This window comes from Homo sapiens, chromosome 15, assembly GCF_000001405.40.
Source record: "Homo sapiens chromosome 15, GRCh38.p14 Primary Assembly".
NCBI lineage: Eukaryota > Metazoa > Chordata > Mammalia > Primates > Hominidae > Homo > Homo sapiens.
Genome location: NC_000015.10, coordinates 48,473,570 through 48,489,670, shown reverse-complemented (window position 1 = coordinate 48,489,670; position 16,101 = coordinate 48,473,570). Strand labels below are relative to the sequence as shown.

Sequence of the window (16,101 nt, the reverse complement as noted above, 5' to 3'; positions counted from 1 at the left end):
CCTGGGGGTTAAAATTGTTCTGTATGGAGAGATAGTTTCAGATAGTTTCTAGGTGGCCCTCTTAAATGTCAGTTACGTAAACTCAAAGGAACTTTAATTTTGCTTCCAAAAGCTATGGTAATTCATTGCTGAAGAAGGACTTGGTGTTCTGGAGATTTAATCTCCCAGTTCTGTCTTACATGTAGAAATTACTTGCGTATTTCTTGAGTGTTTGGTCTTGTTTTGGAAAAAGGCCCTGTAGTGGGAAACTCAGGTCACATGTTACATGTATGCAGTTTTCTAGTGTACAAGAAGCTCTTTAAATTATATTAATGAGATCTTGAGCTGGATGCGGTGGCTCATGCCTATAATCCCAGCACTTTGAGAGGCCAAGGTGGGCAGATTACTTGAGTCCAGGAGTTCAAGACCAGCCTGGGCAACATGGTGAAACCCTGTGTCTACAAAAAAAAAAAAAAAAAAAAAAAAAAAAATATCTAGGCATGGTGGTGCACACCTGTAATCCCAGCTACTCAGATGGCTGAGGCACAAGAATTGCTTGAATCTGGGAGGCAGAGGTTGCAGTGAGCCAAGCACACCACTGTACTCCAGCCTTGATGACAGAGCAGATCCTGTCTCAAAAAAAGAAAGAAAGACATCTTAAGGTATATACATTAAGAAAATATTTTTAAATTGTACAAATTATTTGCAAATAATTTAAATTATAAATTATATCTTTGAAATTTTTATATTTTTGGCATATCCAAAAAAGCACCAAACAGTATTAAGTGAATATCTCATTCTGCTACACAGTCAATTGATAGCTGTAGGATAATATATTCTAATAATGTTCTATGTGCTTTAAATATAGATACTAGTGGTTTAGAATATATTATCTATTCACTCAGCAAGTAGTGGTTAAATATTCACTATGTGTCAGGCAGTGTGCTGGGCCCTAGAAGTCTGAATAGACACATTATTTGCTTCTTTAACAATGCTTTATAAAATGTAGAAATTTGAAAGGCTAGAAATGTTTACAAAGTCATATATCTCATGGATCATCACACATTCTTGGAAATGTATACTGCCAAGACCTTAAATCAAGAACTTCCAACCTTCATGATTTAAAATGGTGGGCATTGAGACCTCCTGACTGCTTGCTCATAAACTTATTTTGCCCCACATTTTCTTATTCTTGAAGATATCAATGAGTGCAAGATGATACCCAGCCTCTGCACCCACGGCAAGTGCAGAAACACCATTGGCAGCTTTAAGTGCAGGTGTGACAGCGGCTTTGCTCTTGATTCTGAAGAAAGGAACTGCACAGGTCAGTTAATGAGCCTTAAGGGCCAGGAGAGGGGACGTCCTTTAAAACTCTTTATCTTTAACATATTGTCGCAAGAATTAAGGCTGTCCTGAGACTCATTTGCTGCCACTTGCTGTTTTTGTGCAGACATTGACGAATGCCGCATATCTCCTGACCTCTGTGGCAGAGGCCAGTGTGTGAACACCCCTGGGGACTTTGAATGCAAGTGTGACGAAGGCTATGAAAGTGGATTCATGATGATGAAGAACTGCATGGGTAAGTTTGGGATCATTTGATCAACACAGAAAGAGAAGGATTCCATGAAGCTTTGATGGCTCATAGCCTATGTTCCAGGTTCTTCCTGCTGCCCCAGTGCAACCAGTGAAGTTAGGAATCAGTCTGCAACAGAGGGAGACTGAGGTAGAAAGAATGAGGGAATTCATGCTGTGGGTTTGTGGGTGATGGCGGAGACCAGTTGTGGGCCCTTGAGAAGTGATTTTAACACCTGAAATGGATACCCAGGCGGAAGAGAGGACAATTGAGACAGAAGCTGTAGTAGAGGTCCCTTTACAAGATGTCTGTCCAACACTTCTAGAAAAGGTGATTGGTAAACTTGTTGCTTTAGGTCTGGTTTCCTAGAAACAAAGTTTGAAATGGAGATTCTTGCAAAAGTGGTATTTCTTACTGTGAGCAAATTCTCTCAGAAGGTACTTGTCAGGAAGTAAGGAGAGCAGGGTAGTGCAGGAGAAGAAAATAAACCAAGAGTTTGGCTGCATTTTGGTTTTAGTCTGATCCTGCAGGGAGATCTGGTGTATGAATAGCACCAGAGAGTTGTCCCACCTTGAGACAAGGAGGTCAAGATGGACACCCAGCAATGGGTGGGGGAGGAGTGCTTGGTCTGGTGGAGGAGATGAGGCCCCCACCTTTAACATGGTCATTTCCATTTTGCAGATATTGATGAGTGTCAGAGAGATCCTCTCCTATGCCGAGGTGGTGTTTGCCATAACACAGAGGGAAGTTACCGCTGTGAATGCCCGCCTGGCCATCAGCTGTCCCCCAACATCTCCGCGTGTATCGGTAAGGAGAAAGACTTTCACACCATTTACTTGTGGTCAGTTGTTTGAATGACATCATTGCCAAAGTTGGAAGCTTATGTTTGGGTGTTTGTTCTTCTTATTTTCCCGACAGACATCAATGAATGTGAGCTGAGTGCACACCTGTGCCCCAATGGCCGTTGCGTGAACCTCATAGGGAAGTATCAGTGTGCCTGCAACCCTGGCTACCATTCAACTCCCGATAGGCTATTTTGTGTTGGTAAGTTCTTTTTTATTTTATTTTATTTTATTTTATTTTACTTTATTTTATGTTATGTTATGTTATGTTATTTTATTTTATTTTATTTCATCTCTCCCTAAAACACTCTATGTACTCTGAGTTTTGTTTTCATCGCTACTTTTACTTATCTTTCTTGTTTCCCTGCAATATTCTTTTTATAGTGGCTCACGATCTTTGGATCTCATCTCCATTATCTGTTTAAAGAGCCAGTTAAGTGAAGGACATAGGATGTTTTAGCTCTAATAAGCATAATTTGACCCATGCCGTTTGGATAGGGAACAGTAGCAGCATGTGCTTTGTCTACACACATGCATACCAATGCACATTAACAAATGGTAACTAACCACCTGAAATAAACTAAACACGGTGAGTGCTGTGGAAAAGAGCAGAAAGCTGAGTTGAAATCACTGCCCTTATGTGGTTTAGATCAGCTAAAAGATTTCAAAAAAATAACTATTGGAAAGAAGACCATGGAATGTTCATATCTTACACTGCAATTGAGGCTATGCCTGGCTCTCCTTAAAGATGGGTTTTTGTGGGACAAGAATTTTGCTTTGTGGTCAGCCCTCTGTAGGTTTAGTCGTGCTGTGAAGAGTGGCACAGACAGTCCTGTGGCTTTATTGTGCCCCGAGTCAAAGTGAAACTTTGTAGAAACTGCCAGTTTTTGCCTGGTTTGGGGTGTACACCATGTGGAACTGCCAAGTCTCACATGGTTTCCACCCAAAACCATAAATCAGCCCAAAGTTTTCTGAAACATGGCCCAGGACAACTCAGAACTTCAACTCAGGTTATTGAAAAAGATTGGAACCTCAGCCAATCAAACTGAATTTCAAGTTTATAAGTGAATCTGTGGCCAAGAGAATTTCATCCACGTGCCTATTATCATAACTGAGATGTGTTCTCCTAGCACCCAATACTTCTCCTGCATTGCAAATGGCACATCATGCATGGTGCAATTAATTGTTCATCTGTCTCCTGGCCACAGTGTAATCATTTTGAAGTCAAAGATTGTGTCTGTCCCATTCACTATTAGAGTCTCATCTCTAGCATATAGTAGGTATGTCATTAACATTTGTTGAAGGAATCAGTGACTCAGTTGCCCTAGAATGCTTTTTCCCCTTTATTTGACGTATGCCTGGAAATGTTAAAAATGTGCCATGCTCATAAACACAGAGGGAGGTGTGTTAGCCCATTTTTGTGATACTGTAATAGAATACCTGAAACTGGGTGATTTATAATGAATAGAAATTATTAGTTCACAGTTCTGGAGGGTGGGAAATCCAATATCAAGAAGCCAGGATTTTGCATGGTCCTTCTTCCTACGTTATCCCATTGAAGAAAGCACGAGGGTGAAAGAGAGCAAGAGGGGGCTGAACTTGATCTTTTATAACAGCACCGATCCCACCATGAGGGTAGAGCCCTCATAGGATGATTACCTCTTTTAAAGGCCCTGCCTCTTAAATAGTGTTACAATGGCAGTTAAATTTCAACACGAGTATTGGAGGGGACAGACATCCAAACCATATCAGAAGGTGATATTATTTTCATTTCTTTTAGACATTGATGAATGCAGCATAATGAATGGTGGTTGTGAAACCTTCTGCACAAACTCTGAAGGCAGCTATGAATGTAGCTGTCAGCCGGGATTTGCACTAATGCCTGACCAGAGATCATGCACCGGTGAGTAGGTTCTAGCCTCATGTTGAATCTCTCAGTAGGTTCCTAAGTAAAGTAGTTTAGGGCCCAGGCTTTGGAGTCAAGCAGGCTTGAGTCCAAACCCTTGTTTGTCATATATTTTAACTGTATCCTTAATCAAGATACCTATTATTAGAATCCTCATCTATAAAATGAAGTTCAAATTGCCTGCATAAAATAGTATTTACAGAGCTTACCATAGTACCTGGCATATAATAAATGGAATATAAAATACATTTTCCTTCATTGACCAGACTTTTGAAGAGTTTGATGTTTTGGCCTAATTCAGTGCAACTCCAGGTTTATTCCTTGAACCATTGGCAACAGCATCACCTGAGAACTTGTTAAAAAAATGTAAAATCTCAGGCCCCATTCCAGATCTACCGTATCAGAAACTACTGAGGTAGATCCCAGGAATTTGTTTTCACAATCTCTCCAAATGATTTGGATGCATGCTAAAGTTTGAGAACCAGTGGTCTAATTTACACTTCCTTTTGTATCACCCTGGCTGCGAGAGCTGTGAGCCAGGTAGAGGTGAGAAACAAAGTGGGTAATAACATAGGCTTTGATTTTGGCTTGGCTTAAGAAGAGAATTTGGATTTAGGAACCAAAATTATTTTACTGACCTAGAAAAATGTCCCTTAAAAAATCTAGATATAAATTTGGCTACAAAAATTGTTGAAAATAAGGCCAGGCACGGTGGCTTACACTTGTAATCCCAGCACTGTGGGAGGCTGAGGCAGGCAGATCACCTGAGTTCAGGAGTTCAAGACCAGCCTGACCAACATGGTGAAACCCCATTTCTACTAAAAATACAAAATTAGTTGGGTGTGGTGGCACATGCCTGTAATCCCAGCTACTTGGGAGGCTGAGGCAGGAGAATCGCTTGAACCTGGGAGGCGGTGGTTGCAGTGAGCCAAGATCGCGCCATTGCACTCCAGCCTGGTGACAGAGTGAGACTCTGTCTCAAAAAAAAAAAAAAATTGTTGAAAGTAAATATTATTACTAAGAGCATCTAAGTAGGTATGGTTATTTCAAGTAATTCTTACCTTAAAATATTGCTAAAACAGTTGATAGAATTCAGGCATTTATAATTTGACAATAGGGAAAATAAGATTTATAATAATTTTTGAATGATAAATTAAATGAAAGAAAGATTTTAAATAAATAATAGACTTTTAAGCAGGTGTGGACGTTGCCCTTGAGCAGTATATTATAAATATTGAAAAATATTTTTTCCTTTTTTACCAAGGATAACCCAATGGGCTAGTTTATGCAAAGCTTCATTTGGATTTGAGAGTTAATAGTCTTATGCTAGTAGGCTAAGTTTATTTGACTGCGGTCAGTTAATGTTTTCTCACTGAACAGTGGAACCAATATCAACAACCTGTGGTTGTTGGTTTTATTCTTTGCAGACATCGATGAGTGTGAAGATAATCCCAATATCTGTGATGGTGGTCAGTGCACAAATATCCCTGGAGAGTACAGGTGCTTGTGTTATGATGGATTCATGGCATCTGAAGACATGAAGACTTGTGTAGGTAAGCAAAGAAGACAGAATTTTTCATCTTGTCTTGTTAGTCATAAGCACTGTTAAATTACATAAAGTTAGTTTGGGTCAGTGATAGAAAGATTCCATAGGAAAAGTAAGGATATTTAGAGGCACAATACTCATATTTTAACCAGCATTCCAAAGAGAGCTTTCTTGTGGCTATTAAATGGTACTCTTGTCAGATATGTTATGAGGACTGACTGGCCATTCGTCAGCTCCAGATGGACATTTCTTTTATGCCTATCCATTACTTTTGTCCACTTAACCCTCCTTCTGCTTTGACTATCATGTAGGCTTTTTAAATCCTTGACTAAAGGCAAACAAAATTTACTTCTGACAAGAATGCAGTAAACTTTAGAACTGATCTATTTGTTTTGTATAGTTTCTATTGTTATGCCTTCAAATTTGATAAACTTTTCTTCTACGATCTCTAATCTGCCTTTCCTCACATACAGTGTATTTTTCATCTCAGATGTTGTAGTTTTCACCTCTAAAAGTTCGACTTGGGTATTTTTTCATATATTCTGTGTCTCTGCATAAGTTCAATCATTCCTCTAGCTGTTTGAACACATGGAATACAGTTATAACAACTTTTAGTGTCTTTGTCTCCTAATTCTGTCATCTGCATTGGTTCTAGGTCATTTGAATAAATTGACTTTCTTCCTTATTTTAGGTCATATTTTCCTGCTTCATTGAGTGACTGGTAATTTTTGATTGGATACCAGATAGTGTAAATTGTGCCTTACTGAGTGCTAGATATTTTTGTATTCCTAGAAATATTTTTGAACTTTGTTCTGAAGTGTAAATTACTTGGAAACACATGGATCCCTTTCAAAGTCTTGCTTTTAAGCTTTTAAGCTACACTTAGTCTAGGGGTAATTTTGCTCTGTTAGTGAGGTAAGACCCTTCTGGATATTCTACCCAATTCCCTGTGAATTATGAGGCTTTCCAGTCAGGCTGGTGGGAACAGGCACAATCCCAGACCCCCTGTGAACTTTGAGGATTGTTCCCTCTCATTTTCTTGGGTAGTGCTTTCCCCAGCCTTGAGTAGTTTGTTTCCTTATATGAATGTGCTGGTCACTACTCATCTGAATACTTGCAGAAGACTCTTAGCAAATCTCTGGCATTGCTTTCTTCTGTGTAGCTCTCTCCTGTCCTTTACTCTGCCCTATGAACCCTAACTACCTCAGCCTTCCAGGATGCCCAGATTCATCTCCTCAACTCAAGGACAGTGCCTGGCTCCATCTGGTACCTCCTCCTTATGCCATGAAGTTAAAACTCTCCTATTCAGTAATCTCGGGCAATTGTAGGATTCACCTAGTTTTTCTTTCTCTCAGGGATCACTGTCTTTTGTTGCCTAATGTCCAATGTCTAGAAAACCACTTTTTAAGGTATCTATTGTCTATTTTTTTTGGTTGTTTCATCTGAGAATATAATTTTAATTCCTGTTATTCTATCTTGGCCAGAAGCAAGAGTCTGGTATTGATTATATTTACATTTTTATCACATTTATCTTCTGAAAGCCTTTACTGAAAATGTTTGAAGTCCTAGAATTAAAATGAATGTCATAAAAAATGAATAATTTTTAATTTGGAAAAGAAGTGAAGTCTTAAACTACTTACACTAAGACAACCAGTTCATCTATCCTTTCTTTCAAAATATGAAAACTAAATTGTTATCATCATGCAGACTGAATTAAACTTTTCATCCTGCAATAGAGTATGCTGTTCTAAAAAGTTTTCTAGACTGTCACATAAACGAGCTCTAAACTCAGCATGGAGCCCATCTGTTTATTTGATTAACTGGCCTGCTGCTTATGGGCCAGATGAAAGCCAGTCTGAATAATGAGCTTGCAATGTAAAGAATGAAGAGCAAATGTAAATTGGCCTCTAAAATTTAACATTGTTTTTCTGAGGGAAAGCATTTTACCTTTTCTAATGTATTTGTCATAGTTATTATGTCTCGAGGGGAAAGTACTCAATGATATCAAATAGCTACATATATTAATAGTATATATGTTTTACAGATGTCAATGAGTGTGACCTGAATCCAAATATCTGCCTAAGTGGGACCTGTGAAAACACGAAAGGCTCATTTATCTGCCACTGTGATATGGGCTACTCCGGCAAAAAAGGAAAAACTGGCTGTACAGGTGTGTTTGTTCAAGTAGAACAATAAAATATTAAGTAGTTAAGAGATTGGTATCATAATTATAGATTGATACATGTTTTAAAACTCATACATTTTAACTATATTATAAAACATTTTGCATAACATTTTTCATTAATTTAGCTTCCACTTCTTTGAAATTTGTCATCGTTTATATTGGATCCAAGTTGCAGGTTTTTTTCTTGACCTGTGGGGGGAAAAAGGTGTATTGAATAAATTAACACTGTAAATAGCACATTTTTATGAGGTTAAAAATCACATTTTCATATCAAATTAGTGAACATGCTAATTACCAAATATTCATGGCCCTTCACCGAAGCAAGCCTTTTCCAATAACCTCCTTTGCCAACACTTCATTTAAGGTTTATAACTGGAATTGCTCTTTAAAGGAAAACATCCTACAATTCATATATTTCATCAATTCTCACTAGTCTTCCAGTGCCTTAAATAGGAGTACTTTTGATGTATTAAGTCATATTAGTCCAAGGAAGTCTTTATTCATGGGACTTAGCAAATCTTATGAAGTGATAATGAAACCATTTGCAATGTTGTCTGTTACCAATAGCACATGAGAAAATGTTTTCACAATATTTGTAGGAGACTATCCTATTAAATGCCAAATGGAAGAAGTTACTCTGTGCTAATGACATTGTGTTTAGTTTATAAGTGTTTAGTTGGTATTTTCAAATATGAGGCAATGACATTAAGTCCATGGAATGATATAATAAAGTTTTACTCTAGTTACTTATATTAATTTGACAGATTATGGCATATAACATAATTTAAAACATAATGGAAACCATGGTGAGCTTGAATTAGGTAACTGAATAATTTCTTAATAAATAACAGTCTTTAATTCCAAAAACCAGTTTGGCAAGCTCTTATGACTTAAAACAAATATTAAAATATTTGCAGATTGGCAGTGGGGCAAATGTGCAGATCCTCCTCTTAATTATATCAACATATTTCAAGAAAACACCAAAATATATTTATTATTGTTTCAAACTGGCCAATAATGCTATTTCAAATTTATTGATATGTAGGATAAGGGCAATAATATTATTGTTGGTTCAAAAATAACAGATGCTAGCCAAATTATGAGAAGAAGCATGAAGCTGGAATGTTTTCATTTTCACTATGCTACTCCTTACATGAAGCCTGTCTAGGGGTCCATTCTGATAAATGGCACAGTGTTTAAACTCTCAACTCCTATACGGCCTCTCGGTACAAATGGTGCCTAGCTTTGTATGTCTATGGTTCAAGCTTTATTTTTAGCTTCCAGTATAAATATAGGACTTGGTAAGGGATGATGGTCTGGCAGTAGTGAAAAGAAAGGTAAGATAGTTCTGTATTATGTTTTAACTAATAGAGGATAATACTACTGTTTTGTTAAGCTGAGCACATTGAAATTCAACCCAGAGGCAGTGATGCTTATGAAAGAAGTTAATCTCATGGAACAACCTTCATTCCCCATAAGAAAGAGGTCTCTAGAATTCAATGCTCCAAATTCTAGCTAACTGGGTCATGTGCAGTGGCTGATTATTTTAGGCCTTACCCTGAAGAAAGCTTAAATTTTCATGTTATTTAATGTAGTTTTAGGTAAATGACATATAATGTATACAATGCTGTTGGCGCAGTGCTGGTCAATAAATAAAAGCTATTGTCAAATGAAACATAGACACAGTGTCTAGAGGCCATTTTAGTGAAAGCCATTGCTTCTAGTCTATATCTATTGTCCATTGTTTTGTTGTTTCATTTGAGAATTTAACAGTCTAGCAAAAATTTTATGCTACTGTTTACTGATTCATGCTTGAACTCAGTTTAAAGAAGGAAAATCTTACTCTTTATATTGAAAGGCTTGTTTTTCGTAGTTGAATTTGCACAGATACTAAGACCATGGTAACAGAGCTGTGCACTACAGTTGCATGAAGTGACACCAGCTTTACGTTAAGAACAGCAGCCTTTGAGTCAATCACATGAACATAGATTTGAAGTCAAAGAAACATTTGATCCTCTTCAAATCTTTTTCATAGATTTGAAGTCAAAGAAACACTTGAGCTCTTCCTCCAGTTTTGAAAATTACAGCCTAAAATGATTTTCCAATTTGCTAAAATCCAGCTAGCACTGTAGGAAGACTTGAGTTTTATGCCCCTTTGATACCAGAGTAACATGGCATGTGATATTCTCATCTGAAGGAGTAGTACCCTGAATTGTGTTCTTAGTAAATCCACTCATTCATGATCTTGAACAAATCACCAGGGTGCTCTGCAGTTACTCAAATGTTCTCCTTGGGTAAGTAACAGCCCTGACCTGTGGAAGGGCATCACATTTGATTGGAAATGGCTTAACCAAACAGTAAGTTTGGTATACTTGAAAACGTGTTTTTAAAAATCTGGGGCAAAATGTTTTTTGAATGCCATGTCACTAAGGCTCTTTTAGCTGCTTTTAGTTTAAAATTCGTGTCATTCACAACTTAGAACACCGTCAGGTTACCTTGGTGATGGCTTTGCTAATAATGTTCCAGGCAACTAATGTAAGTAGAGATAGGTATCTTGCCTAATTGGATAAGCAAGCAGACAAAAGGAATATGTCTACTTATTTATCTATTTATTTATTTAGATAGATTATTGTTTAATGAAAAGAATTATGAAAATATGTATGCTATTTTATAAGGAGAAATTTTGCTTCATGAGAACTAAGAAAAAGACCTCTGGGCTCCATTACAGTTTTGTCTAAATATTTCAGCTCCCTGTCATTACTGAGTATTTCCATTTTAACAAATAAACATGTTTTTTCCCCCAATCACTTTAGCAATGTTCAGAATCCACCCACTGACTTACATTCCCAGCCCACACAGATGCTAAGGGTTTCTTTTTACTCCGTAAGCTTTGTTCAGACCCTGGGTATTGCCAAGGGGGAATGTTCCATTTAATGGAGAGAGAACACATTTGCTTGAAACGCAGAACACAGCTCTTCTATCCTTGGCTTAAGTGGGCTGGATTACAATTTTTCTATGACCCAATGTAAGGCTTCTGCTGCTTGTTCTACATAATTAAGGCCCTGCTAGGTGTCATCTTTGATGGGTGGTCCTGGCTTTCACAAGCTAATTTTAAGACCCTACCTCCCATCATGTGCTTACTTAGTTAATGAATAAAGCAAGCATACCATTAAGTGGAATTAAATCAGACTTGTTTTCAGTTAAAATAGCGGGATTTCTGGGTAATTCCATATTGGAAACTAGCTGGTTTCTTTCATAAGAGAAATGTCTCTGGTGGATCTTGGTTCATAGGAGAGAATCATATATTTCAACCACCAACAGTCAGTGAGAATTTGTGTTCATTTCCTTCCAGTTTCTTATCACTGCTAATTTTCCTTCACTGGCTGTCGGCCTGTGAAAACTCCATGGGTGTTCAGTTAATAGTGTTGGCTCAAATTTGGATCCAAATTAAGAAATCCAAGTAGCCTTCACGTTTGGCCTCTCCATTCATGGTAACGCCCTCTTCCTCAATGCCTAATCAAGGAGTTTCTGCAGTGCACAGCTCTGCCAGGTTAGGATCCAGGAGACAGATGCCCAGATGGCAGAGAAGGCAGGTGTTTGTGTGGGTGATACAGCCTCTCCCTGCGTGACTGTAAGAGGAGGCCACAGCAGCCCCGGGCACAAGCCCATACTTGGATGACATACTTGCATGGGACATACCCAGAGCCTGTGAGCAGGGTCTGCTCACACCACACCCTTGCCCTTCAAGAGAGCCATGCAAGAGGACCTTTGAGTCTTTGTGACAAAGGTTTGGTGGGGTTAAGAAGGTTGCGGTGTCACTTTAAGTTTGAATTTCTTTGCTTTTCTTGGCTTATGCTATTCTTAATCTTAAACAGGAATTTTCTGTTTGCAGCGAACTTGTGCAGGAAAGAGAACATTTTTACAGAAAGAGATATTCTTGGCAAACATGTACTATGTTTCCTTCATGTTATTGAAGAGTGTTTCAATACAGCATTTTTGTTTGCTTGTTTTCCTTATGGCTCACTTTCCCCTTCTGTTTGCTTTTATGATGAATTACAGTCCAAGTCTGCCACAGAAACAATTAATGAATGATAGTTGGTGCATGCATGCACACACACCCACATGCAAAAACCTTTTATTTGGAGATGCTTTTATACTTTATGACCACTTGAAGTCTCTCCAATTGTTACATACTGAGAGTGTAAAACATTGAGATAATAACTTATACAAATAGTCACAAAATGGAGAATTGAATATTGGCTCCTGAGTTACTCTCTCCTATTACCCAAAAGCCCATGATACACAGCCTGTTGTAAATATAGTTTCTTTTCACCTTGAAAACATTGCCATAAAACTGAAAACACTTTCTAAAGTTGTAAATTTCTATTAGCATATTACTGATGATTTTTAAAGGAGACTTTCCATTAAAAAGAAATGATAATTTTCTTAATTGCAAGATTAAACATGGAAGGTAAAAGCCATATGAAAATGATAATACTCATAAAATAAGAGTACCTCTGGTCATTAGAAAACTGGAAAGAAAAAGATTACAGAATTACTAGATTAATAGGTTGTGGTCATCTCTGAAAATTATGCTTAGTAGAAGATATTAGTGAGTATTTCTATAAGTCAGTTAATATTCACCAATATTTTGGTAACTCCATAAAGCAAGGCTTAGAATAAAATCCTGATATGACTAAAGAAATGCGCTCAGCTGGGCGCAGTGGTTCACGCCTTAATCCCAACACTTTGGGAGGCCAAGGCGGGTGGATCACCTGAGGTTAGGAGTTCAGGACCAGCCTCACCAACATGGTGATACCCCATCCCTACTAAAAATACAAAAAAAAAAAAAAAAAAAAAAAAAAGCCAGGCGTGGTGGCAGGCACCTGTAATCCCAGCTACTAGGGAGGCTGAGGCAGGAGAATTGCTTGAACCCAGGTGGCGGAGGTTGCTGTGAACCGAGATCGCACCATTGCACTCCAGCCTGGGCGACAAGAGCAAAACTCCATCAAAAAAAAAAAAAAAAAAAGAAAAGAAAAGAAAGAAAGAAGCTCAGCTAGGCAGCTGTGGCCCAAGGGAAGGAGTGCCAATCACCAGATGGGGAAACTGAGTTTCAGGAGGTCCTGGCTCTGCCCCTCACTGACTTGTAGGGCCCAACTTCTTTGTCTTCTTCTGAGAAACTGAGATTGGGAGAATGGAATTACGAGTTCTTTCCACTTAGAAAATTCCTTGATTCTATAACATCTGGAGGCTTTGATACTTATGCAATTGAAGCTTTTTGTGTCCACATAAGATTATTTGTCAGAGATCATGACAAATATAGGAGAGAAATTTAGGCAAAACTCCACAAAAATGGTGATTTGTTGCATTACCTCTGAGGGGAGCAATTACCTGAGGCAGAAAGAAGTTTCGACAGCCCTGCTTGGGAGTATTTGTGCTAGTTCTGCGGGATCTGTTAGGTCAGGTATGGAAAGACATACATTCTTGAATTCCTGTGCCTACTTAGCACTGTTATCCCTGAATTGGCCTTCCTCCTCATTTCCTTGGAATGTGCCATGCTCAATTATTTAGCTGGTTAAAGCTCCCAGTCACAGTCTAAAGCTATGTGTCTCTCTTGACCTGCAGTAATAACTTGATAGGTCCATGTGGCTGCCAAGGTTACACTAAAATCCACCTATACAATGTGTCATGACTGAAAGGACATTCTTCCAGGCATGCTGCTTCATTTTTATGATCATTAGTGATATTATAAAGTTCTTTTGTAGGAGCAATCTGTTCTTATTTCATTTTGTGTTTGCTCTAGAAGTTATGAAGAAGCCAAAGATCCCAGGACCATTTCAGAGCTTCAGATGGAACACTTGGCAGATAGCATGTTTGCAAACACTTTCAAATCATTTAATTGGGCTTCATAAGTAAACAAAAAGGCAAACATGAATTACTTGCCCAGTTTCTTTTTCATGCCACTATTCAAGTGTTCACTGGAAATTCTTGCAGTGTTTTGTATGGCAAAATTGTTCTTCTTGACCTAAGATTGGTGTTAGATGTTGGTTTCCATATAGAGTACCATATTTATGAGTTCTTGTTCTTAGTTAATGACAAAGTTGATTATGAGGGTAACCCATTATAGAATGGGCTCGTTTTGGAAAATTTTCACTTAGTACTTTATGTTCTTTTCTGTAACATATTTATGTTAGAGAGTCTATCTTGGCTAAAGTTGACAATAGAATTTTGGAGAATAGAGCATTTTGGAAAATTTGGAGTCTTTTAGTAATGTGACCCTAATCTGGTATTCCTTATATTCTGACAAAATCCCCATTGGATTAACTTGAGTTTTACATGAAATATACAAGAAGGCTTGGCTCTCCAATGTGCTAGGACTCTAAGAAGCTAGGGAAAAGATGGCTTATATACTGTCTTAAGGAACATTTTCTGCAAATGCTTAAATTAGCAATACCTAAAGGAAAGCTTTTGTAGAAATAAAGCATAATTAAATAAGTGTTTTAAGTTTAAGAATAAAATATATTTTATATATAGAATATAATGCAAAAATTTTCTAATTTGCCAACAAGTTTGTATTTTTTGTCTATACAAGATATGAAAATAATGTGCATCATTACTCCATAGTTGACTTACTAAAAATACTAGCAAAAGAAAATATGTGACAAGGAGTATTAAAACCATAGAAAATTAAGCAACTCATTTTTTATGGTCTTCAGCTGTAAAAAGTCACTTTGCAGTGACTGGAAACTTACATTAAAATACGGAAAATAATTAGAGTTAACAATAGCTAGTACAATCATATTGTTATATCTTTATAATTTGAAATTTAAAGCTGTTTGATATATGTAGAGTTTATATATGGATGCAAAACCAGTCTATACTATACCATGGGAAGTTTGAAGGCAAGTCAACTTTTGAATATTACTTATTTTAAAAACCAAAAGACATTTGTGCTGAGCCTTTTTCTAAATCACTGCTCATTTTTCCAGACATCAATGAATGTGAAATTGGAGCACACAACTGTGGCAAACATGCTGTATGTACCAATACAGCAGGAAGCTTCAAATGTAGCTGCAGTCCCGGGTGGATTGGAGATGGCATTAAGTGCACTGGTGAGTAGGAAAGTAACAGAGGTTGCTTATCAAGGACTGCATAGATTACACATATGAAAATATTAATTATGTAAAGTTATTTTAATTTGTGTATTATTGGTTTTAAATACCACCCTTTCTGTTAATAATGATATAACCTTTTTCTATAAGATCTGGACGAATGTTCCAATGGAACCCATATGTGCAGCCAGCATGCAGACTGCAAGAATACCATGGGATCTTACCGCTGTCTGTGCAAGGAAGGATACACAGGTGATGGCTTCACTTGTACAGGTATGTTCACGCTGGAAACAACTGTGTCAACACTAGTCAGAGAAGCCAGGCATTCCACATTTCTCAGGCTAGCAATTCTTTTTTGAAGACTGGGTCAGTTAATAGAAAAGATTCATCATTTGGCACTAGAGCTCTGTGGGAAAAAAAAAATTGGAACCAGGTCAATTAGGGAGACCTCAAAAGCTTCTCGATAGGTAGATACGTAGGTAGATAGATAGATAGATAGATATTTAGGTGCCATTATCACATCATTTACAGTGATCTGTGCTCTAACATAAAATGATACCAAAAAAGTCATACCATTCTCCACCTCAAGTCAGCTAGGCCTTATAATAGTTACAATTGGCATATATATCATTATATGACTGTATATAATGATGTCATTAGTTTAAACAAATCATACTTCCTTTTATATGCCTAGCCTTTATTTATTATTATTTTTTTTTTGCCTATTTCTCACCAATGACTTCCTTTCTGTACCAACACAAGGATAAGCTTGCTGTAGGGAACTATGTAAGGAGAAGGGATTAGATGTTCTAGATTAGAAGAACAGTATGTATTTCTCTCCAACAGGCCATCATCATCATCATTATCGTCATCATCAACATTCCATATTGGTATAAGTAAAAATTTCAAACCTGCTATGGAATTCATTCACTTCCAGTTTTGCAATAATATATTAATG

At 37.5% G+C, this 16,101-nt stretch overlaps 1 protein-coding gene across 2 annotated transcripts in view; it reads left to right on the top strand.

Moving 5' to 3' along the window:
• FBN1 (fibrillin 1) overlaps window positions 1-16,101 on the top strand; it is a 237,397-nt gene that overhangs the window by 156,039 nt on the left and 65,257 nt on the right. For both annotated transcript variants that reach the window (NM_000138.5, NM_001406716.1), the window contains 9 exons: window positions 1,178-1,303; window positions 1,430-1,558; window positions 2,234-2,359; window positions 2,471-2,596; window positions 4,175-4,297; window positions 5,728-5,853; window positions 7,891-8,016; window positions 15,021-15,143; window positions 15,294-15,416. In NM_000138.5, the coding sequence (NP_000129.3) occupies window positions 1,178-1,303; window positions 1,430-1,558; window positions 2,234-2,359; window positions 2,471-2,596; window positions 4,175-4,297; window positions 5,728-5,853; window positions 7,891-8,016; window positions 15,021-15,143; window positions 15,294-15,416 (1,128 nt within the window). The remainder of the gene's footprint in view (window positions 1-1,177; window positions 1,304-1,429; window positions 1,559-2,233; window positions 2,360-2,470; window positions 2,597-4,174; window positions 4,298-5,727; window positions 5,854-7,890; window positions 8,017-15,020; window positions 15,144-15,293; window positions 15,417-16,101) is intronic.